Raw genomic sequence first — 23419 nt, forward strand, 5'->3', positions numbered from 1 at the left:
AAAATATTATAGCTCAATCACTCTCGTGGACATGAATGCAAAAATCCTCAACAAAATATTAGCAAACTGAAGTCAGATTTACATAAAAGGCATAATATATAATAACCAAGACATATTTTTCTAGAAATTCAAGGTTGGCAATTTAATATATTAATAGACTAGAGGGGAAAAATCATATAGTCATTTCAACTGATGATTTTTAAAAAGCATTTAATACAAGGCAACACCACTCATGAAAAATATGTTAAGCAAACTAGAAATAGAACGTTACTGCCTTAATTTGATAAAAAGCACCTACAAAGCCCTGCAGCAGGTGCGATGGGAAGACACAGAGCGCTTTCCCTGAGATGGGTCGGCTATCACCTAGTCCACCCAGCAGGGTGCTGGGGTCATGGCCAGTGCTGACAGGTAAGAAAAAGAGAAAAAGAAGTAGCACAAAATAAAACTAGCACTTGTTGAAAACACAACCGTGCCAGTAGAAAATCCAAATGAATCTATGGATCCTCAGAATTAATACATTTAGCAAGGTTATTGAGTACAAGGTCAACATACAAGCTGTATTTTTACAGGTGAGCAGAAGCAAACAGAAAGTGTTTTAAAATGTAAGGTTTTATAAATGGCAGTGAACCCATGAAAATACTCTGAGCCTCACTCATCAAGAGGGAAACTCAATCAAAACCACAATGAGATGCAACCTCATGCCCATTAGAAGGCAAGAAATAATAATAATAATAATAATAATAATACCTGTTGGGGAGGAGGTAGAGAAACTGGAACCTCGTGTACATTTCCTGGGAATGTCAAATGGTGCAGCTTCTGTGAAAAGCAGTATGGCAGCTCCTCAAAAAATTACGAATAGAATTGCCATATGATGCAGCAAGTTTGCTTTGGGTCTGTACCCAAACTAATTGAAGGAAGGGTCTAGAACAGAACTTCCACACCCATGTTAATAGCAACAGTACTTGCAATAGCCAAAAGGTGGATGCAACCCCAGTGTCCACCAATGGATGAATGGGTACATGCAACGTGATCTATTCACACAATGGACCATCACTCGGCCCTTCTCCATCAATGGAAGAAAGGGTACATGCATCATGGTCTATTCACACAATGGACCATCACTCAGCCCTTCTCCATCAATGGAAGAACGGGTACGCGCATCGTGGTCTATTCACACAATGGACCGTAACTCAGCCCTTCTCCATCAGTGGAAAAATGGGTACATGCATCATGTTCTATTTACACAATGGACCATCACTCAGCCCTTCTCCATCAATGGAAGAATGGGTATGTGCATCGTGGTCTATTCACACAATGGACCATCGCTCAGCCCTTCTCCATCAATGGATGAATGGGTACGCGCATCTTGGTCTATTCACACAATGGACCGTCGCTCAGCCCTTCTCCATCCATGGAAGAATGAGTATGCATAACGTGGTCTATTCACACAATGGAATGTCACTCAGCCCTTCTCCATCAATGGAAGAATGGGTACATGCAACATGGTCTATTCACACAATGGAACATTGCTCAGCCCTTCTCTATCCATGGATGAATGGGTACATGCATCGTGGCCTATTCACAAAATGGAATATTGCTCAGCCCTTCTCCATCAGTGGAAGAATGGGTACACGCATCATGTTCTATTAACACAATGGACCATCACTCAGCCCTTCTCCATCAATGGAAGAATGGGTACGTGCAACATGGTCTATTCACACAATGGAACATTGCTCAGCCCTTCTCTATCCATGGATGAATGGGTACATGCATCGTGGTCTATTCACACAATGGACTGTTGCTCAGCCCTTCTCCATCAGTGGAAGAATGGGTACGTGCATCATGGTCTATTCACACAACGGAACGTCGCTCAGCCCTTCTCCATCCATGGACGAATGGGTACGCGCACTGTGGTCTATTCACACAACGGAACGTCGCTCAGCCCTTCTCCATCCATGGACGAATGGGTACGCGCACTGTGGTCTATTCACACAACGGAACGTCGCTCAGCCCTTCTCCATCCATGGACGAATGGGTACGCGCACTGTGGTCTATTCACACAACGGAACGTCGCTCAGCCCTTCTCCATCCATGGACGAATGGGTACGCGCACTGTGGTCTATTCACACAATGGAACGTCGCTCAGCCCTTCTCCATCCATGGACGAATGGGTACGCGCACTGTGGTCTATTCACACAATGGAACGTCGCTCAGCCCTTAACAGGAAGGAGATTCTGACACAGGCTACCACATGAACAAACCCTGAGGACATGATACTGAGTAAAATGGGTTAGTCACAAAACTACAAATTCTGCATGATTTCACTTACAGACGGTCCCTGGGGTTGTCAAATCCACAGAGACAGAAGGTAGAATAGTGGGTGCCAGGGTCTGGGGGAGGTGGATGGGGAGTTAGCATTTATGGTGACAGAGCTCCAGTTTTGCAAAATGAAAATGTTCTAGAGATGGTTGTTGGTGATGGTGGCATGGAATAATAATGCCACTGAACTGTGTACTTAAAAGTGATTCAGATGGTAAATTTTATGTTTATGTATATTTTACCAAAATTTAAAAAATGGGAAAATATCACATTTTCAGCTGCATAAAATGCTATGGTAAATCTAGCTAAACTTTCCTCTACACAGAAAATGACAAGGTCTGATTGACGGCCATAGGCTATTCAAGGAACAGGGTTTCTGGGGGCAGCAAGCCAGGGGCCCAGGAGCTGGGTCCGTTTGAATTCTCCTTTGAAAGGAGGGCCAGGAGAGAGCTGCCCCAGAGGTCCCTCAGCAGGGCTGGAGTGCATTCCCACAGAGCAGGATGGAGCTGAGGCAGTGGCCCCTCCTCCGGGGCCTGGTGGGTGGTTCCCAGGTTCTGGGACCTCCTTACATCGGGCAGCGCCTTTCAGCATGGGAAGCTGGAGGCACTGGGAGATGGTAGGCTGGGGGTTCTGGGCAGCTGTGCCGCGCGGGCCTGGACTGCTGGGTCCTCGGGAGGCTTTCGCCCTGCAAGGACATGTGGGCTGTGTGGCTGGAGAAAGAGGACTAGGGCCCAGGGCGTGAAGCGGCCTTGGATGTGGCTCAGGGGTTCCATGGCCCCACCGTTGCCTGCTCTCCACAGAGGCCCCACTGCCCACCCCACACTCCTGGTTCCACCGGGGACTCACTCCGTCCACACATATCCTCAGCGTGGGCACTGGTCCCTTGTCCAGGACCAGATGCTGAGCCCACCCTCCAGCTGGGGCTCTTGTGACCCCAGTGAAGCCCACGGAGCCACTCCCTGCAGTGAAACCTGAAGCACATCTCGATGACACCGACGTCACTGACCGGGAAAGGCCAGCTCCAGAACATACCATGCGTGAAGGAGCCACCATGGGCCAGGGTGGTGGCTCTGTGGACACAGGCCCTGGGCTGAGGCCACCCTCTTCTGTGGGGGTCAGCACGGGGACCGGCCCTTCCCTCTTGGACCTGGTGGACCCTGTGGCACGTGGGGTGGCATCGGCTGCCTGGGCACAGCTCTCAGCGGGAGGGCCAGGTCCCAGGAAATGAGGCAGGGGCTGCCAGGCCCCCACAGGCCACCTCACCTGCAGCCCCTCTTTCTGGCCCTCTGCACGCAGGGAAGTGGTGGTCAGAGAGGGGCACACGGGCGGGCTGGCAGCCGCCCTGTCCCCATGCCCCCACTCCAGACTTTCCCCTTCCCATCCTTCCCAGAGGACCCAAGGGAGGACCACGCCTTTTTAAATTATTTTTAATTTTTTGGATACATAACAGTTGTACATATTTATGAGGTATGTGTGCTATAGTGATGCGTGCACGTAACACCTAACGATCAGACCAGGGAAACTGGGCTACCCATCACCTCGAGTGCTGATCATTCCTTTCTGTCAGGAACATCCCAAATCCTCTCTTCTAGCTATTTTGAAATAAACGATAAAGTATTAACTATAGTCACCCTACAGTACCACCAAACAGCAGGTCCTAGTTCTTCAGCCTGGCAGCATGCCTGCAGCCCTTCATCTCCCCCTTCCCTTCCCAGCGTCCGTGGCCACCAATCTACTCCATGAGACCCACTCTCAGCTCCCGCAGGAGGGAGGCACGGGGCGTTCATCTTTCTGCGCCTGGCTTCGTTCCAGTTCCATCCACGCTGCCGCGAACGGCAGGATTTTGCTCTTTTCAGCTGAAGAGTACCCCATGGTGTCCACGCACCTCGTTTTCTCTGTCCACACATCTGCTGATGGACAGATGCCCAGGCTGATTCTGCATCTTGGCTATCGAGATTAGGCTGCAGTAAACCCAGCGGCACAGACATCCCTCCACAAATTTCTTTCCTTTGGATGGGTGCCCGGCAGATTTCTGGGCCCTGTGGGAGCTTGGTCTTTAGTTTTCTGAGGAGCCTCCACACCGTCACCTCCCTGCCAAAGGTGCTCATGGGTTCCCCTTTCTCCACACCCCGGCCAGCACATTTTCTGTTTTTTTTAAATCGCTTTATTAAAGTTTGTAAAACTGGGTTTAGAAGCAGTTCTTTAAGAAAACCTCTGAACACTATGACTGTTTCCCTGTAAGCTGAAGGCGTGGGTCGCTGTTTTGGGTGGAAATAGGTGGGGCTGGCTCATGCTCTGGGGAGGAGGGATTTGAAGACACAGCTTATGGAAGGTTCCTGTGGGTCTCCTTAGGGAAATGGGGAATGTCCATGTTCCCACCCCCAAGAGACACAGTCTGGAAGAAGACAGGAAACAGACAGATTGGCTACAATCCGCAATGTGGGCTCCAGGCCCTTGTGAGCTGAGAGGAGGTGAGAAGAGGGGAAGGGAAGACAGAGAGGAGCTGCGGGCACGTGGGCGGGATGACGCCTGCACTGAGGAAGGCCAGAACCCCAGACAACGACATCTTTTTGGGTTCTGCTGTGACTCCCTACAGGAACCCCAGACCTCCAGGAAGCCCAGTGACACGGCGGCCTTCACTGTCCCCCGACAGCCAGGTGTCCACGAACCCTCATCTGGTGGCCTTTGTGACAAAGGAAAGTGGGCTGGCTGTGAAATAACAGCAAATGGATAGCAAGTGTCAGAAGAACTGTATTCCCACACCCATGCACACACACACACACACACACACGGAGACACACGCACACACACACACGCACACACATGCACCCGCAAACACACGCATGCACATGCGCACACATGTACACGTGCACACAGAGACACACACACATGCAAACACACACACACACGCACACGCAGGAACTCCAACCTCCCCTTCCCACTTTGTCAAAAGCGAGCTGGATGAGAAGCCTGGGAGGTTTGAGTTCTGTCTCCATGACCATAAGTCTGCAGCCACACAATTGTGTGATGGGTTGTGTGATCTTCCTGACAAGGAACCAGTTGAAGGATGCTGACTGGGAAGCCGTGCACGCGACCGGCCGTCAGGATGTGCCCGAGGTAGGAGCAGCCCTTCCGGGTTGACTGGGGCTGGAGACGCCCAGCTCGCCCCGCCCTGGCAAAGCCCAACACTCCTCTGGCCTGACTTCGTAATGACAGGGGATTGGGGTGCACAGCCAGCAGGTGCCCCCACATTGCAGGGAGGATTCAAAGCAAAACCACTTCAGTTTGCTTCCAGGAAGGGGTGAGCGAGTCGACTCCAGGCTGTCAAGGGCAGCAGCTGTGGCTGGGACCCTGGATGGTGCTGGTCCTCCTGCGGTGGAAGCAATCCAGGAGATGCTGGGTGCAGTGCAGGGCCACCGCACAGGGAGGTGGGCAGAGGCGGGCAGAGGTGGGCAAAGGTGGACAGGGCCCCACCCTTTTCTCCCTCCTTTCTTTGCTTTTCTCCTTCTGAGCTTCCTGATCATTTACAGCAGGAACTGTCTTCCTGATGACCTCACTCCCACCCCAGTGCCTGGTATACAGTGGGCGCTCAATAAATGTTGGTGGAGTGAATGGTCACTGGCAAGGGCAGAGGCCATAAAGAGGAGAGATTTCGGGCCTCAGCCAAGAGCTCCTGGCCACCGTGGGGCCTCCTCGCTCACCGCACAGGTCCTCCCACCCAACCTGGGCAAGGGATTGTGGTGTGAGTGTGGACGAGGCCTGGGCATCCTGAGACTTCTCAAGTTCCCATTTCCTCAGCTGGCACAGAGAAGCCAACTCTGTGAGGGCCCCAGGGCTCAGTATTCACCTTCTGAACTTGGGGGAAGAAAAACCAGTCCAGGTTACATCCAAGGAGCACTCGTTGAGACACTTGGTCTGGGAGGACAGTGCTAATCAAAGCCTCACGTCCCTGGCAGTGCAACTCCACAACTGCTCAGCCCCACACAGACACAACATGTGGGCGGGTGATTCGGTTTTTGCGGAATTGACTTTGTGTGTGGATGTCATGGAGACACTTCCTGGCGGGCGCCGAGAGAAAGGGGCATTGTTCTTCCCGCCGGAGAAAGGAGGGCACTGGGGGAGCCTTGGGCAGTCCCCTCTGTGGCCAGAGAAAGAGGCTGGGAGGCGTCCCGGGGGCCTCTGAGGCTGGGCGATTTGGGGTGCCAGAGACCGCTAAAGCAGCGGCCCACTGCCCAATTTATGTGTGCGCTAAATCACGACCATGATTTCTGCGTGTTTTCTAGAATAGTAGCCAGTCACAAAACACAGGACATGGTCTCATAACGTTCCAGATTCTAAACATTTACAATCAATCTCTATGCTTTTTAACAAATATCTCAAAATCAGACTCATCTTTTCAACATATTTTTAGTGTTCTGGTTTCCGTTTCTGTTTAGGCACATTTGTCACGGCAAAGCCTGGAGCTGCACTTATCAGAAACGTCTAAAAATTCAGAAGCTGATTGCTTTTAAAAGTAGCAGAACTAAAACAAAAACCTAAACACTAGGTTGTTACATTTTGGGAGGTGTCTCCATGTGGACTCCTAAATTATTGTCTGAGGTCTGCTTACTCCAAGAGGCATTTCTCTTTTCAGAAAATTAAAAACATTAAGTACTCCATCCGGACACAAAGCGTCTCCATATGACAGAGTTTTGTTACTGTGGGGAGAGGACAAAGCACCAGCCACACCCCTCATTCCACAGCCTTTCCCAACCCTCCCCTCGAGATGAAACACTGGCCATCTGCAGCGCTTCACCTCTGAGCTGGAAAGAAGCTTGTTTCTTTTGCTTTGATGAGGTTCTGCTGGTTTTGGCGGGACTTTGAAGTTTATTTATTGTCATTAAATTGCATTAATTATTTTTGAAGTTTATACTTTTGTTCACAACTCTTAAGACTTTGTGAAGTGCATAAAATAAGCGTAAATTCAAAAAATTCCAAGAAATGGATCCAACAGTTACTTTTAATTGGCAGCAGAATATGGCCCCCAATTTATTACAAACTTACATGCAATGGTTTAGAACTAATTTTAACTTCCCCTTGAAGTTGGAATTCAAAACCTCACTGGTGGCTTGACATGGTATTAATCAAGGAGAATGTTTGTTTCATAATTTGAAACAAGAACCTGGATCTTTTATGAGGTCCAACATTATTTCCATATGAGGGGGCAGAGTGGGAAGAAGGCAGCTGGAACAGACGCCAGGGCCCAGCCAGGATCTGGGGCCCTCTTGATCTCCCTCATTATCGGAGCTCCTTCTCCCAGGGCCAGCCAGGGGCGCCACACAGCGCAGCCTTTTGCCTGGGGTCAGAGAAAGCTTATGGGCCAGGGCAACAACAAAACCACTTACCACCGCCAGATCGCATTCCCCCCAGCAGAGACCCCAGCCTGCTTCAGCCCCACCCCGAGCAGAGACCCCAAGACCCCGGCCTGCCTCAGTCCACCTGTCCAGAGACCCCTGCCTGCCTCAGCCCCACCCCGAGCAGAGACCCCAAGACCCCGGCCTGCCTCAGTCCACCTGTCCAGAGACCCCTGCCTGCCTCAGCCCCACCCCGAGCAGAGACCCCAAGACCTCGGCCTGCCTCAGTCCACCTGTCCAGAGACTCCTGCCTGCCTCAGCCCCACCCCGAGCAGAGACCCCAAGACCCCGGCCTGCCTCAGTCCACCTGTCCAGAGACCCCTGCCTGCCTCAGCCCCACCTCGAGCAGAGACCCCAAGACCTCGGCCTGCCTCAGTCCACCTGTCCAGAGACTCCTGCCTGCCTCAGCCCCACCCCGAGCAGAGACCCCAAGACCTCGGCCTGCCTCAGTCCACCTGTCCAGAGACCCCAGCCTGCCTCAGCCCCACCCCAAGCACAGATCCCAAGACCTCGGCCTGCCTCAGTCCACCTGTCCAGAGACCCCAGCCTGCCTCAGCCCCACCCCAAGCACAGATCCCAAGATCCCTGCCTGCATCAGCCCTACCAGTCCAGAGCCCCCGGCCTGCTTCAGCCCACCCGTCCCCTTCACTGCATTGGTCTCCATTCCTTTCTCCACAGCTTCCCAGCACTCCTGTGCCAGGGCCTTTCCCCAGCTCCAGGCCCAGCTGCAAGTGAGGTCCAGGCCTCCCTCGGCCCGTGCCATGGAGAGAGGCAGTAACCTGGCGAGGATGCCCGGGTGTGGAGGAGGGACCTGGGCTGGGGCTGTGTTGTGGGGAGGGGCCGGGGATGCCCCCTAGCGGACTGGGATGGTGTCTCTGATGCAGAGATGTTGGGGGAGGTGGTCGCAGAGGTAGAGGGAGGGTAGAGGGAGCTGGAAACGGGGAGGGGAAAGGCCCCTCGCACTGGGTGCCCGCCCTGCAAGTGTTGTGCTGGCCAGGATGAGAAGCTGTGGCCACTCAGCAGCCCTGGAGCAGGCCATCGGGGAATCTCCAGGGAGGGGCTGGCAGGCAGAGGCCCAGAGGCAGGACCTGCAGCTCGAGTTGAATGGGCAGCAGGGCCACAAAGACGCCAAGGCCGGGGCACTGTGGGACCCCTGCCCGCAAGGAAGGGGGGCGCCATGTGGGCTGCGCGGGGCTGGGTTTTGCTGTTTTGGCCCATGCTTTCCCTGTGCCTCTGCCTGTTCAGAGCCCCTGGCGCCCTGGAGGAAGGTCTGGGGGCAGCAGGGGGACCTGGATGGCTGGGGGTGGAGTGGGAGGGGAAGGTGGGGTCCAGGGTTTTCCTCCTAGTCCAGGGAGTTGGCCGCGGGTTTGGAGGACAGAGCCCTGACAGGGACGTGAGGCATTGGCTGTGAGCTCGAGGGGACGTACTCATGGGCGCCAGGGCAGAGACAGAGGAGGCTCAGAATTGGAGTCTGGGGCCTCTGGGAGGGGAGCTGGCTGGTGAAGTGGTCCAGGGTGAGGGCGGGGGCATGGCAGCAAGCAGAAGGACCCCTTTCCACTGACCCACGCCGCTCGTCCACAGCAGAGGCTCGGACCCCATTCCACGTGGGAGGTGGAACATGCTGGGGGGGACAGCAGCCCAAGTGGGGACAGAGGGGGGTCCAGCAGCCTTGCCCCACCCCACCCCCCACCGGATCCCAGGGGTCCAGCAGTCCCCTTGCCTCTGACCAGATCGCTGGGTCCAGCAGCCCATCATCTGCATCACAGGGGCAATGTGTGGTTTTTAGGTTTTGGTGTGTGTGGTGTGTCTGTGTGGTGTGTGTGTGTGTGTGGTGTGTGTTTGTGTGTCTGTGTGTGTGGTGTGTGTGTAGTGTGTGTTTGTGGTGTGTGTGTGGTGTGTGTGTGTCTGTGGTGTGTGTGTGGTGTGTCTGTGTGGTGTGTGTTTGTGTGTCTGTGTGAGTGTGGTGTGTGTGTGGTGTGTTTGTGTCTGTGTGGTGTGTGTGATGTGTCTGTGTGGTGTGTGTGTGGTGTGTGTGTGTGTGTGTCTGTGTGGTGTGTGTGTAGTGTGTGTGGTGTGTGTGTGTGTGGTGTGTGTTTGTGTGTCTATGTGTGTGTAGTGTGTGGTGTGTATGTGTCTGTGTGTTTGTCTATGCACATTTCTTTGGTCCTGGCCTTTTTTAATGATGGCAACAAACTTTACGAGAGTTTAGTCTTCATCTTTCTTTCTTTCTTTTCATATCTCTTGCAGCTTTTCCTGGATTTGTTTTTCTTTTCATTTTGAGGTTTTCTCCATAAATGTTTTCATTGTGGGTTTTGTTGGCAAGTCTTCTGAAGGCTTATGAGACTATTTTTATTATACCCTCAAAATACTTCTTTCTTTCAACTATTGTATTTTTTTACAGCCATTATTTCCACTTTGTTCTTTTTTCAGGACATTTTTCTTTTTCACACCGCTAACATCTTTTCTTATCATGTTAAATATGAGCATCCTACTCATGTTAAGTCATGTGTCTATTCTAACACACCTGCTTCAGATGTCTGTCATACACCTTCCAGTTTGTGGCTTTTTCTTTTGTGATATTTAAATTGCTTGGGCGTTTAGTTCCCTTCACCCAAGAGCTCACCTTCCTCTACAAGTGGGTTTAATCACCTCTGGAGGAAGATACATCCTCCACAACTTCTATTTTCATGCATAGCATCCAAAATACAAACTTCTGGCTATGCCAAAGACCACAAGGCCAATCACCAAGAGACAAAAAGGAAATATAAACAGAACTGAATAGGAGCAGATGTTGGACTTACCAAATATGATTTTAAATTAACTTTAGTTAAAATCACATGACAATATGAACAATACTACAGGATAACTGAAGTCTTTTGTTTTTTGAAAATCAAATGGAAATACTAGAACTAAGAACTGTATTAACTGAAAGTACTTAAAAGATGGGGTTAGCAACTGATTGAACATCAGAATAAAGATCAGTGAACCAGAAGCTAGGTAGGTAGAACACATAAAGAATAATGCAATCAAAACTAAAAGGAAAAAAGTAGAAAAAAGGGCGTGACAACGTATGAGACATGATGCAAATGCATGACATGTATGGACTGGAGTCCCAGAAGAAGAAGAGAGAGAATGAGGGAGAAGAATATTTAAAGAAACACTGGTTAAGACATTCCCAAAATCAATGAAAGACATCAGACCACATATCTATGAAGCTCTGCAAACATGAAGCAAAATGAATGCAAAGAAAACCACGCCTGGGCATCTTACAGTCAAAAATAAAAAGGAAGAGAAAAATTGTGACAGTAAATAGGCTGATGTTTTACTTCTCAACAGAAAATAATGGAAGCTGAAAGACAACTGAATGATGTATTTTTAAATTCTGGGGTTAAAAATAACAGCTCACCTAGAATCTTATATCCAGTTAAAATATTTTTATGAAAATAAACATGAACTGAAGATGTATTCAGATGAAAAGTTTGAGGGAATTTATCACCACTAATCTTCACTAAAATAAATGTAAAGGAACTTTTTCAGGCCAAAGGCAAATTATCCAAAAATATCTTGTTTTCAAACACAAGAAAATAGGAGAAAATTTGAAAATCAATAGAAAAGGTAAACTTGTGGGCAAACCCACTGAAAACAATAAAAATAATGATATATTGTAGAATTAAATATGCATACAATTAGGATACAGAAAAATGATGCAAAAGCCAGGATAGGAAAATGAGGTTAAAGAATTATAACGTGCTTGCATCCAGGAGCAAGTGTGCTAAGTCTGATACATCACCAATGCAGGTGAGGAGTCATTAAGAGAATGATTTAAAATGCACATGACTAAAAGCTTAGTGGAGAAAAATAAGAAAAAGTATTAACTCATCAAAAACTAACAGGAAAAGATGAAAACCAGCTAATGAGGTCACAATGAAGAAAACTGTAATGGGGTAAATCTAAGCACAGAAGTATCGTTAATTAATGTAGTCATATAAATTACACAAATACTCCAACTAAAAGACAAAGATTGTCATGCTGGATTATAAAAATAAAACAAAACAAATGATATGTTCCTTTAGATGGTACTCGGTAGTGCAGGTGCCTAAAGGCAGAAGGATAGTGCCGAGACCAGCTCGGTCGGGGAGACCCTAACCCAGTGGCGCTAGAGGAATTAAAGACGCACACACAGAAATACAGAGGTGTGAAGTGGGAAATAGGGGTCGCACAGCCTTCAGAGCTGAGAGCCCCGAAACAGAGATTTACCCACATATTTATTAACAGCAAATCAGTCATTAGGATTGTTTCTATAGATATTAAATTAACTAAAAGTATCCCTTATGGGAAACGAAGGGATGGGACGAATTAAAAGAATAGGTTGGGCTGGTTAACTGCAGGAGGAGCATATCCTCAAGGCACAGATCGCTCATGCTATTGTTTGTGGCTTAAGAATGCCTTTAAGCGGTTTTCCACCCTGGGCGGGCCAGGTGTTCCTTGCCCTCATTCCCGTAAACCCACAACCTTCTAGTGTGGGCGTTATGGCCATTATGAACATGTCACAGTGCTGCAGAGATTTTGTTTATGGCCAGTTTTGGGGCCAGTTTATGACCAGATTTTGGGGGGCCTGCTCCCAACAGATAGGAAAGGTGTCTCATGCAAACAGAAAACCAGCAGAATGTTTGGGAAAAATGATCAACAAATTTGACTTGGTCAGCATGGACAGAGCCCCGTGCATGAGGACTGACTTCAGCCTATGAATTTCTCCAAGTAGACAAGGAACATTACCAAAACTAATGGCCCATTGGATCATTAAAGAGTCCCCCCAAAATTGGTGGTGTTGAAAACATACAGAACATAGTTTCTGACCTGGATTCCATCCAAGCCATGAGGGGTTTTATGCCCTGGGCTTAGATTATGGTGCATCAGGGTAGGCTTCCACTCTTTAGCACAGAGCTCGGTGTTCCAAAGGCCACGAGGAGTTTTAGATCCTGGACCCCGGACATGTTCCAAGACTCTTTTACATTATGTCAGACATGCAAGCCCTGCCTCAGCTTCTCCCAACACTCAGCTTTTCTCCCAACATTAACTATATCAAAAATGAAAATGGAGACATCACTAAAGATCCCACAGATACTAAGTTAATAATAAAAGAATATGCTGAACAATTTATGCCAATAAATTTGACAATTTAGAAAAATTGAACAAACTCTGAAAAACACAACTTGCCAAAACTGATGCAAGAAAAATTTATGAGTCCTGAACAATCTTATTTAAAATGTTCCCACAGAGAAAACTTCAGGTCCAGTTGGCTCCACCAGCAAACCATTCTTCCAAACGTTTGTGGGAGAAAAAACACCAATCTTACACAAACTCTTCCAGAGAAGAGAAAAAATGATTAATGCTTTGCAACTTTATTTAAAAGACTAGCCTGACTTTGTGATTAAAATGTGATGAGATCATTGCAAGAAAGAAACATTACAACAATCTCTGACATGTGCATGGACCAAGTATCCTCTAAAAATGAATGAATTGCTGATAAATGAATTCAGTGAAGTCTCAGGTTACAAAATCAATGTACACAAATCAGTAGCACCGCTATACACCAACAATGACCAAGCTGAGAATCAAATCAAGAACCCGAGCTCTTTTACAATAGCTGCAAAAAGTAAAATAAAATAACTAGAAATAACTTGACCAAGAGGTGAAATATCTCTACAAGGAGACCTAGCAAACACTGCTGAAAGAAATTGTATATGACACAAACCAACGGAAATACATCCCATGATCATGGATTGGAAGAATCAATATTGTGAAAGTGACCACACTACCCAAAGCAATCTACAGATTCAATGCAATTCCTATGAAGATACCAACATCGCTTTTCAAAGAATTGGGAAAACAATCCTAAATACCATGCTGTTTTGGTTACCATAGCCTTGTAAGATAATTTGAAGTCAGGTAATGTGATTCCTCCAGCTTTGTTCTTTTTGCTTAGGATTACTTTGGCTATTCAGGCATTTTTTTATTCTATGAATTTTAGGGAGGGAGGGGAAGGAGGGAAGGAGGAAGGGAAGGAAGGAAAGAAGGAAGGAAGGAAGAAAGGGAGGGAGGAAAGAAAGAGAGAGGGAGAGAAAGAAAAGAAAGAGAAAAGAAAAAGAAAGAGATGGAAGGATGGAAGGAAGGAAGGAAAGAAAGGCAGAAAGATAGGAAAGAAAAAAAGAAAGGAAGAGAGAAAGAGAGAAAGAAAGAGAGAAAGAGAGAAAGAAAGAAAGAGAAAGAAAGGGAAAGAAATCATTCCAGTCAAAAGCCCCGTGTTAGAGATCAGCCGGTGGTTTCTGCTTACCTGAACTATAACCATGTACACTGAGATGGACTTTGGTTTGCTTGAGTTGAAACCCAAGGCGCTGGGGTCATCTCATTCTAATGATCTCCCAATTATTTTAACCTGTGTGTGTGTTTACTATGTGCACACACACAAGCACAACTAAGAACTCAAATTCAGAATAAAGAAATTCTACAAATCAATAAAAGACAAAAACCCAATTTTTGAAAACGCAAAGACAGTATCCAAATTGCCAATAAGCATATACAACCGTGCTCAACTTCAACGATTGCGGGAGCAACGAGTATCAAAAACACAATAAAATACCAATATACACCCGACAAAATGGCTAAAATTTACAGCTGACAATTGCAAGTGGTGGCAAGGGTGTGGGGCAACTGGAACTCCCATAGACTGTTGGAGAGTGTGAGTTGGCACAGCCACTCTGAAAAGCTGTTAAGCCCTGTTTGATAAAGCTGAGCATGTGCATACTCTATAACCCAGCACTTCAAATCCAGTGTATGTTCCACATCTGTACAAGAATTCCATCTGCCACAAAGTACACATGAGGCTGTTTGTGACACCCTTACTCACAACAGGTAAAAACTACTGTGATTAACAGAACGGATAATAAACTGCGTTCACATAATGGAATACTATAAGGCCGCTTACATGAATGAAACAGTGCTGTGTTCAACAGCATGGGTGAGTTTCACACTTATATGAAGTTCAAGAAGAGCTGAAGGTAATCTGTGTGTTAGAAGAGGGGTTGTGGAGCCTTATGGGGTGGAGGTTTCTGGGGGCTGGGATTGTTCTATGTCCTGGTCTTGGAGGTCTCGATGCTGTAACAATTCACCATAATTTTCTTATTCATATTATACTTCAAAAAATTGCCTAAAAACAATAAAAGGGTTAGGAAACTAAATAAATCAAATTTAATTTAAAAATAAATTCCTGGCTGGGCGCAGTGGCTCACACCTGTAATCCCAGCACTTTGGGAGGCCAAGGTGGGTGGATCACGAGGTCAGGAGATTGCGACCATCCTGGCTAACATGGTGAAACCCGTCTCTACTAAAAATATAAAAAATCAGCCAGGTGCAGTGGCTCACACCTGTAATCCCAGCACTTTGGGAGGCCAAGGTAGGTGGATCATGAGGTCAGGAGTTCAAGACCAATCTGGCCAATGTGGTGAAATCCCGTCTCTACTAAAAAATACAAAAATTAGCCAGGCATGGTAGTGGGCACCTGTAATTCCACCTACTTGGGAGGCTGAGGCAGGAAGAATTGCTTGAACCTGGGAGGCAGAAGTTGCAATGAGCTGAGATCACGCCACTGTACTCCAGCTTAGGCAACACAGAGAGACTCCATCTCAGAAAAAAAAAAAAATACAAAAAATACAAAAAATTAGCCGGGCATGGTGGCAGATGCCTGTAATTCCAGCTACTTGGGAAGCTGAGGCAGGAGAATTGCTTGAACCAGGGAGGCGGAGGTTGCAGTGAGCTGAGATTGCACCACTGCACTCCAGCCTGGGTGACAGAGTGAGACTCCGTCTCAATAAATAAATAAATAAATTCCCACATTGATTCTTTTGCGGGAAAAAGCAATAAAATGTGTGACCAGGCAAACAGACTAATGGAATAAAAGAAAGTGCCAAAAAGGGCCCCCTTCAATGGGAACCCTGATATGACAGGACCATCATCTATGGAACCCCACTGTGATGAATGTGGGCCCCGCATCCCTGGAGAAGGGGTACCAGGACCAGCATGGGGGGTGAGAGCTTCCAAAAATGCCCGCCAACTGCCTTCCTTCTTCACCAGGCCAGGCGAGTGCTCAAAGCACTTTTCCTGCAGGAACCGAGACGCGAGCTCCTTTAACAGCCACCAGCGAGTCCCACATCACCCTCCCCCTCTACCCGACATCCCTTTTCATTCTCAGGGGAAGCACCCTGGCCCCTCTTTGGCCTGGGCCCCCTGGGATGGGCTGCCTGGCGCAGCTGCATCCTGTAGGAGTCAGTGGGCGGCTGGGGCTCCGTGTCTTCCTGGGACTTCTATTGAAGGCATTTTGAGGAGGTTGGAAGATAAGTGTCTAGTTAGGCATTAGAGAGAAGTCTCCCTTCACAGTGGCAAAGTTAGGCTGTGTGTCTTTTCCTGTCTTGGGAGTAGCCGCTCTTGCCCCAGCTGCGGATGCTGGGTGTGAGCAAGGCTTTCAGGCTGGCCATGGGCTCCTTCCAGGCTTGAGCTGTGTCCCCTGAAGCCAGGGGGAGCCATTGACCTGCGGCCTCCCAGAGCAGGGGCACGAGGTCTGTCGCTGGACTTTCCAAGTCGACTTCCTTCTTTTGTCCTGCCAATTTTCTAAAGAAGAAAGCTGCCTTTTCTCTGGAGGCTGGCAGGAGCCATCTGGGAGAATGAAATACAGCCTCTTCCTCTTTGTCTTTAACTTCCCTTCAAAGCTGAGCGAGAAAAAAAAGATGACTTGGTCTGGGGTCCTTGGTGGCATCAAGCCCCCAGCACCCCTCCTGTCAAAGCAAAGAATATTACCAAGGGTAAAAAAGCGACATTTCATAAAGAGGCAATTTATCAAGATGACATAGCAGTCCTAATTATTTGTGCCCGTAATTACAAAGCTTCAAAATACTTGAAACAAAATTGATAGAATTGCAAGGAGAAATTTTTAAAATCACAATTACAGTAAGAGATTTCAACATCACTCTCTCAATAATTGAAAAAAGAGCAAGCAGACAAAGCAGCAAGAAAGAACATTGTGTAGTCCCAGCTACTCGGGAGGCTGAGGCAAGAGAATGGCATGAACCCAGGAGGCGGAGCTTGCAGTGAGCCGAGATCGCGCCACTGCACTCCAGCCCGGGCAACAGAGCGAGACTCCGTCTCAAAAAAATAAAAAAAATAAAGAACATTGGACAACATCGATCAGCACGATCTGACTGATGCCTACAGAACCCTCCACCCAACCACAGAGGAACTCATGTTCTTCTTTTTTTGAGACGGAGTCTCGCTCTGTCGCCCAGGCTGGAGTGCAGTGGCACCATCTCGGCTCACTGCAAGCTCTGCCTCCTGGGTTCAAGTGATTCTCCTGCCTCAGCCTCCCAAGTAGCTGGGACTACAGGTGCCCGCCACCACATCCAACTAATTTTTTTTGTATTTTTTAGTAGAGACAGGGTTTCACAGTTTTAGCCAGGACGGTCTCGATCTCCTGACCTCATGATCCGTCCGCCTCAGCCTCCCAAAGTGCTGGGATTACAGGCGTGAGCCACCACGCCCGGCCAATTTTTAGGTTTATGAGTGGCTGTCCCTGGAGCTCAGCTATGCTTGGGAAGCTGAGCCTCCCAGTCACAGGGGGCAGGTGCAGACAGGCTTGTACCAGAGGAGGTCGGCTGTCACATCCTGTCCCCACCACTGCCCACAAGCTGTGGGGCCAGGCCTGGGGACTTAGCACACCTGGCCCACCAGCCATGGCCCACAGCCCATGGTGAGCTCAGGGAGGTGGGTGAGACAGATGGAGCTGGCCTGTGTGGCTTGGCCCTGGGAGGCCTCTGTTTCCTCCCTCAGTGCCACCCCCAACCCCAGGAGGGGTAGGGACCAGTGGGCAGACGCCGAGCCCCTGGGTGCTGGAGCAGAGGAGACTGGCGATGAGGACCTGCATGCCCATCACACCCTCTGATGATCAGAAAGAAACCAATGCAATCCCTTCCCCGGCTCTCAGCCCTTCCAGGACTTCTCACCAGTGCAGAATTCCACCGTACACCTCATCTCCATCCTGGCCCAGGGTTAGCCCTGAAGATCAGGGGGCCTGGCCCAGATACTTCCTGCTCCCCACAGTGATTTTATGGGACTGAGCCAAGAGGATGCCCTGGCAGGGGGCTTCTGGAACCTGGTGGCCTTCATCTGCACCGCCTCTCTCTGCAGGCTCCCAGGCAGCATCAGGGTCTGTCTGGCCCAAGGGGAGGTGGAGTGCCCAGGACCTTGGTACATGGGCAAGTAAGGACTGAGATGTGTGGACTGCAGACCAAGCCCATCTTCCAGGGAGAGCAAAGAGAGCGGCACTGTGCCCACCCGGGCGACCCCTCCTGCACAGGTCCCATCAGAAATGGCATGGCTCCACCCCCAGCCTCTGCGATAAAGAAATCGAGATGACCCTAAGTTGTGCAAGGTCAGGCATCCCTCAGTGGCACAGGAACAGAACCACGGGTCTGTCCTGTTGTGCTTTTTTTTTTTTTTTTTAAAATAAAAGTGGTGGTTTTTAACCCCTTCGATCCAGAGCTCTTCTGTCTCGGTTGTGGTCCCACAGAACATTCTCTGTCTCCTACTCCTCAGTGAGACTGAAGGAACGGCTGCCAAGGAGCAGAAAGGCAGCTCTGGGGGCTGAACCCTGTGTGCAGCTGAGAGGCCGTGAGGCCTGGGATGTCCGGCAGGGTTGGGAAATAATGAGGAATAACTGGCAACTAGAATCCCAGGAGAGGGGCTTATCTTTAATGAAGTTCCTGGAAGTTATAAGCATTAAAATTAAAGAGGCAATTTCTGCTGGGCGAAAACTTTTTAGCACCAAGTGTCCATGGGCTTGCGGGAGAGAAGCCCAGGACAGAAACCCCCAGGGCAGCAGAGCAAGGCTCTTTTGTCCATCACTGCCGAGCAGCTGGGAGCCCCCTGTACTCACTGGGGAGAAAAAGCAGGTGGCCAGGGCAACAGGCAAGGGAGGGAGGGCTTGTGTAGAAGGGGAGTTGATTTTTTTTTAAGTGCATTCCCTCTTGGGACATATCTATGGACACTTGGAAAACCCAGGAAAGAGAACAGGTCACTTCCATTCCACAGTGCAGCATGGTTATTAAGCACTTACTGTGTGCCCTGAGTAACACGGGGTCCCTGCTCTCGGGAACGGTGTGACATGCTCGGCAACTCTGAGTTACCAGGGAGCGGGAGGGGTTCTGAAGTTCCCAGGCTCTGAGGACCGACTGTTGATGGAAGGCCTGGGCCACATCAGGTGTTTGCCCTGAGGACCCTTGTCGAGTCCCGGGACACCATGAAGGAGAATCCTGGATTTGGGGTCTGTTGTTCAGAAGAAAATGATCCCAGGTCGGCCGGGCGCGGTGGCTCACGCCTGTAATCCCAGCACTTTGGGAGGCCGAGGCGGGGGGATCACGAGGTCAGGAGATCGAGACCATCCTGGCTAACATGGTGAAACCCCGTCTCTACTAAAAATACAAAAAATTAGCCGGGCGTGGTGGTGGGCGCCTGTAGTCCCAGCTACTCAGGAGACTGAGGCAGGAGAATGGCGTGAACCCAGAAGGTGGAGCTTGCAGTGAGCTGAGATCGCACCACTGCACTCCAGCCTAGTGACAGAGCGAGACTCCGTCTCAAAAAAAAAAAAAAAAAGAAAATGACCCCAGATTGTGAGGCCCGGCTGAGCAGCCGTGAGCAGCTGGATGGGCACAGAGCCACCTCCTACTCCTCACCCAGGCTGTTCCCGAGGAAACCATTTCTGGGGTGACTGCAGAGAGGACAGCCCACCCTCTGCTCTTAGAGAAACAGCAGGGAGGAGAAGGCTGGAGTTCAACCTCCACCCCCACTCCCTGACTGTCAGCCAGGATGATGGAATCTGTGGTCATTTCCAGGAGAGCTTGTGCAAGCAGGAAGTAGCCAGACAGCAGCAGCGACCTCTTTAAACCCATTTTTTCAGACTTGGTTGATAGAGAGTATCGGAGTCGAGCTAGCCCCACCTCTCAGTCTGTCGCTCTCAAGTTGCCCAATGTGGAAGAGATATGGGGTCTGGAGGAGGAACGAGTGACACAGGTTCTGCAGGGCCAGTGGGTCAGCGGTGGGACGGGAATGACAGCCAGGACCCAGCATGCACTGCCCCCTCACAGGGCTTTTTCACAAAGGCTGAACTCTGCCTGCAAATTGCACAGAGACCCTTACACGGCAAGAAACTTTTATAAATGGGAGGTACCTGCAGGCTCCAGGGGAGGAGGGGAGAGAGGAGAGGAAAGGAGGGAAGAGAGATAGGAGAGTAGGGGAGAGAGGACAGAGAGACCAGGGGAGAAAGGAGGGAGGGGAAGGGAGAATGAAGGGGAGAGAGGAGGGGAGGGGAGCAGGGAGTACCTGGGAGGGCTAATGCCCATTCTCATCCAGGAGCGAGGAAGGACCAGCTCCCAGGCTGGCCTTCTGTTAGGATAGATCCTGCTCCATAAGAGGCCATGGAAGCAGGACCTGCCACAGAATTTCCAGGACCCAGGGAAAGATGTCCATGTAGGACCCCTTGTTCAAAAGTTAAGAATTTCAAGACAGCAACAGCAGAGCATTAAACCAAGCTCAGGGCCCAGGAAGTGGGGCGTGTTACATGCAGAGGGCAATGGAGCCCTTGAAAATGCAAAAGGCATCTATCCCCGTGCACAGGCTCTGTGTGTGCTTGTGTGAACTTGTATATGGGTACATGTGCTGTGTGCATGCATGTGAACGTGTGTGTGCATGTTTGGAGGGCAGGTATGCAGAGAAGTGTCATCAGGTACAACTCTCCTCTACTTCAGTGGACCCTGGGCTCACCCATGGTGAGGGCCCCCCACATAGAGCGCTTCCACATCTCAGCCAGCTGGGAGCCCACAGTGTCCATGCCCAGGCCCCATGCAGTGTTCAGAGTCCATGCAGAGTGCTGCCCATTGGGTGGGCCTGAGGCTCCAGGAAACAGACATGACAGCCCATGGGCAGGTGGCCTTCTGGTCAACAGCCATGAGGAGGCCTCAAGAGAAAGCTGCCTGGCAACCTCTTTCATCTGGGACAACTGGTCTGGCCCAACTGAGAAACAGCCTGGACTTCAGGCTGCCTCCTGCCAGTGGCTCCGTGGGTACCAGAGGCCAGGGGTGCTCCATCCTTTTTCCTGGGAGGGGTGAGTTGGGCCAGCCAGCCTCACTGTGGCCGCCTGGTGGGGCTGCAGGCCTGCCCCTTCCACCTCCCCACAGCCTTCTGGAGGGAAACACTAAGAAGAAGGCCGCTTCCTACACCATGTCCCACTGGCCTGGGGGACTTCAAACCCGGAAGCTAGTGTGGCCACAATCTCCTTTTGCAGCCCAAGAGTTGGAGACTGGTTTCTAAGGAGACAGTCAGTGCCTGGGTTGGTGGCAGGTGGGCTGTCTGCAGGAGGAAACCTCAGTGGGCCTGGGCCTGCCTGCAGGAGGGCATTGTTGGGAAGGCTACGGAAGACTCTCAGAGCCTACATCTCCATTCAGGGGCAACTCCATCCACCCTCATCGCCCCCTCTCCACCTGGCTGTCCTTACCTCCAGCCGGACACCAAGCCAGCTCTGCTGCAGGTGCAAAGGGGCCACCTGCCCCAGCCCAGCTTCCACATGTGAATGTCCTGTGCTCTAGACAGCCAGGACCTGCTGCCACCTGCTTGCTGGGGCGGTGAGCACCCTCAGGCATACCTGTTCATCACCCACAGATGCCCAGCCCTGTGCTTACCCCACAGCACATGCACACAATGCCCCCTGGATGCCACAAATCGTTTCTAGCAGCAAATGAGTCAGAAGGGAATGGACCCAAAGTCTAGACCCCACTCCACCCCCATCCTGCTGAGGTTGTGAGCTCCAGGGGAGCAGAGGCAGCTAAGGACACGGGCCATGGCTGGTCCCTGGCAACCTTGTAGCACCACCTGGTGACCCAGCAGTGAGCAGGGTGCTTGAAACACCACTGGGCAGGTATCACTCACACCTACACCGTGGAGCAGCCCATTCCAATGGCAAAGATTCCCGATTACACTATTAAATAAGAAAAGAATGTACTTTTTTTCTTTTACTACATAGAGATGTTAAGCTTCTATAAATCAAAAAACAGGGCCAGGCATGGTGGCTCATGCCTGTAATCCCAGCATGTTGGGAGGCCAAGGTGGGTGGATCACCTGAGGTCGAGAGTTCAAGACCAGGCTGGCCAACATGGTGAAACCCTATCTCTACTCAAAACACAAAAAATTAGCCGGGCGTGGTGGCATGTGCCTGTAGTCCCAGCTGCTTGGGAGGCTGAGAGAGGAGAATGGCTTGAACTCAGGAGGCAGAGGTTGCAGTGAGCCGAGACTGCGCCACTGCACTCCAGCCTGCACAACAGAGCGAGACTCCCATCACACACACACACAAAAAAAATCAAAAACCAGATAAATGTAATAGCAAACTGGGTGAATGTTTGCAGCAAAATTACAGAGAAAACATATCCTTCACAGAGGAAAAGCTCTTACTAATCAAGAAAACAACACCATAATGGAAAGAGAAATATAACTGTAGACATTCAACGTAGATGTCAACCTTGCCCATGACCAAGGAAACAAACACTGAAACCATCATGAGACTTTGTTTTTCAGTTTGCTACAGTTTGGAAAGGAAACGAGCTTGCCCCTGTGTGGCTGGTGGGCATGTGGGCATGTGGGCTGGCAACAGCTTTCTGAGCGGCTGCACCTCTAAGAACAAAAGCAGTTCCATCCTCTTCCAGGGAAGAGGAATGTTTCAGGAATCACTTAGAAACATAAACAGGAATTTGTGAAGGAGGCCACCCAATACAATGTTACCTGCAATGGCAAACTAAAAGCAATGTAGCTGCTTGATGGGAAGAAATGGTGAAACCCATGTCCCTACATTTGTACCTTCAAGGACCAGGCAGAAGGGTAAAGTGCACTTTTAAAGAATATTTGAACATTGAGAAATAAAAATACAATCCCAAGACCTCCAACTGACTAAATGAACCCCTTCTTGGCCAAGGGGACTCCAGAGAAACCTTAAACACTGGGTTCCAAGCCATGAAGGGATGAAATGCCAGACAGACCTCATTATGCCCCCTCCCTCACTAACCGCTGCCATTGAGTTTCTTTCCTAAGGGTAAACAGAAAGCCCTTTTGAAAGATTTGCCAGACTCCCCACCCCTCGTGTAGTTTTGACACAACAACCAGCCAGCATTCCTTCCTGATAACAGATCCTGACTGTGGACTGGTTCTAGCTGGTGTAGAGGCTGCACACAGGATGCCTCTGTGTCCTTCATTTCACCTTTTGACCTACAGAGCCTCATTTCAATGCACTTAAATGTGAAGTCTCCACCCCAAAGTGAACACAGGACACATGTAACACACATGTGAGCTCACTGTGCATGCGTGCCCCTCACCCTTGTAGAGTACTCACAGTGCCTCCTGTAGCCTCTCAGCCACCACGGTCAGCACATTCCTGTCTCATCCTCCCCACCCTCAAAGTGCCTGCTTCCGGTTTAGGGTGGAGGCCACACCTCCCAGCCTGTGGATGGTTACTTGCAGGCTGCAACTCTTTAGAGAAATAAAGCTCTCCCTTCCATGTTTATGAATCTCATGAATCTTCAGTTGACAACATATAAAGAAATGAGCATGAAATGATTTTCAGT

The 23419-nt window shown here is 49.7% G+C and overlaps 1 long non-coding RNA gene across 2 annotated transcripts, besides 2 other annotated features; it reads right to left on the reverse strand.

Annotated features, from left to right (window-relative positions):
- Window positions 1-13093: 13093 nt before the first annotated feature.
- On the reverse strand, window positions 13094-23257 carry LINC02982 (long intergenic non-protein coding RNA 2982). 2 transcript variants are annotated; one of them, NR_104615.1, is made up of 2 exons: window positions 23188-23257; window positions 13094-16474 (listed from the first exon to the last, which is right to left on the reverse strand). It is a non-coding gene; the product is annotated as a long intergenic non-protein coding RNA 2982 (long non-coding RNA). The 2 variants fall into 2 exon arrangements; NR_104614.1 differs by having other exon boundaries at window positions 13094-16540.
- Window positions 17048-17762: an enhancer, noted in NCBI's record as "H3K4me1 hESC enhancer chr5:991246-991960 (GRCh37/hg19 assembly coordinates)". NCBI's record gives its function as "activates a minimal SCP1, AML or CMV promoter by ChIP-STARR-seq in primed H9 embryonic stem cells {active_cell/tissue: H9 hESC(primed)}" and the evidence as "EXISTENCE:reporter gene assay evidence [ECO:0000049][PMID:30033119]".
- Window positions 20690-21190: an enhancer, noted in NCBI's record as "H3K4me1 hESC enhancer chr5:994888-995388 (GRCh37/hg19 assembly coordinates)". NCBI's record gives its function as "activates a minimal SCP1, AML or CMV promoter by ChIP-STARR-seq in naive H9 embryonic stem cells {active_cell/tissue: H9 hESC(naive)}" and the evidence as "EXISTENCE:reporter gene assay evidence [ECO:0000049][PMID:30033119]".
- Window positions 23258-23419: the final 162 nt, after the last annotated feature.

Source organism: Homo sapiens, chromosome 5, assembly GCF_000001405.40.
Source record: "Homo sapiens chromosome 5, GRCh38.p14 Primary Assembly".
Classification (NCBI taxonomy): domain Eukaryota; kingdom Metazoa; phylum Chordata; class Mammalia; order Primates; family Hominidae; genus Homo; species Homo sapiens.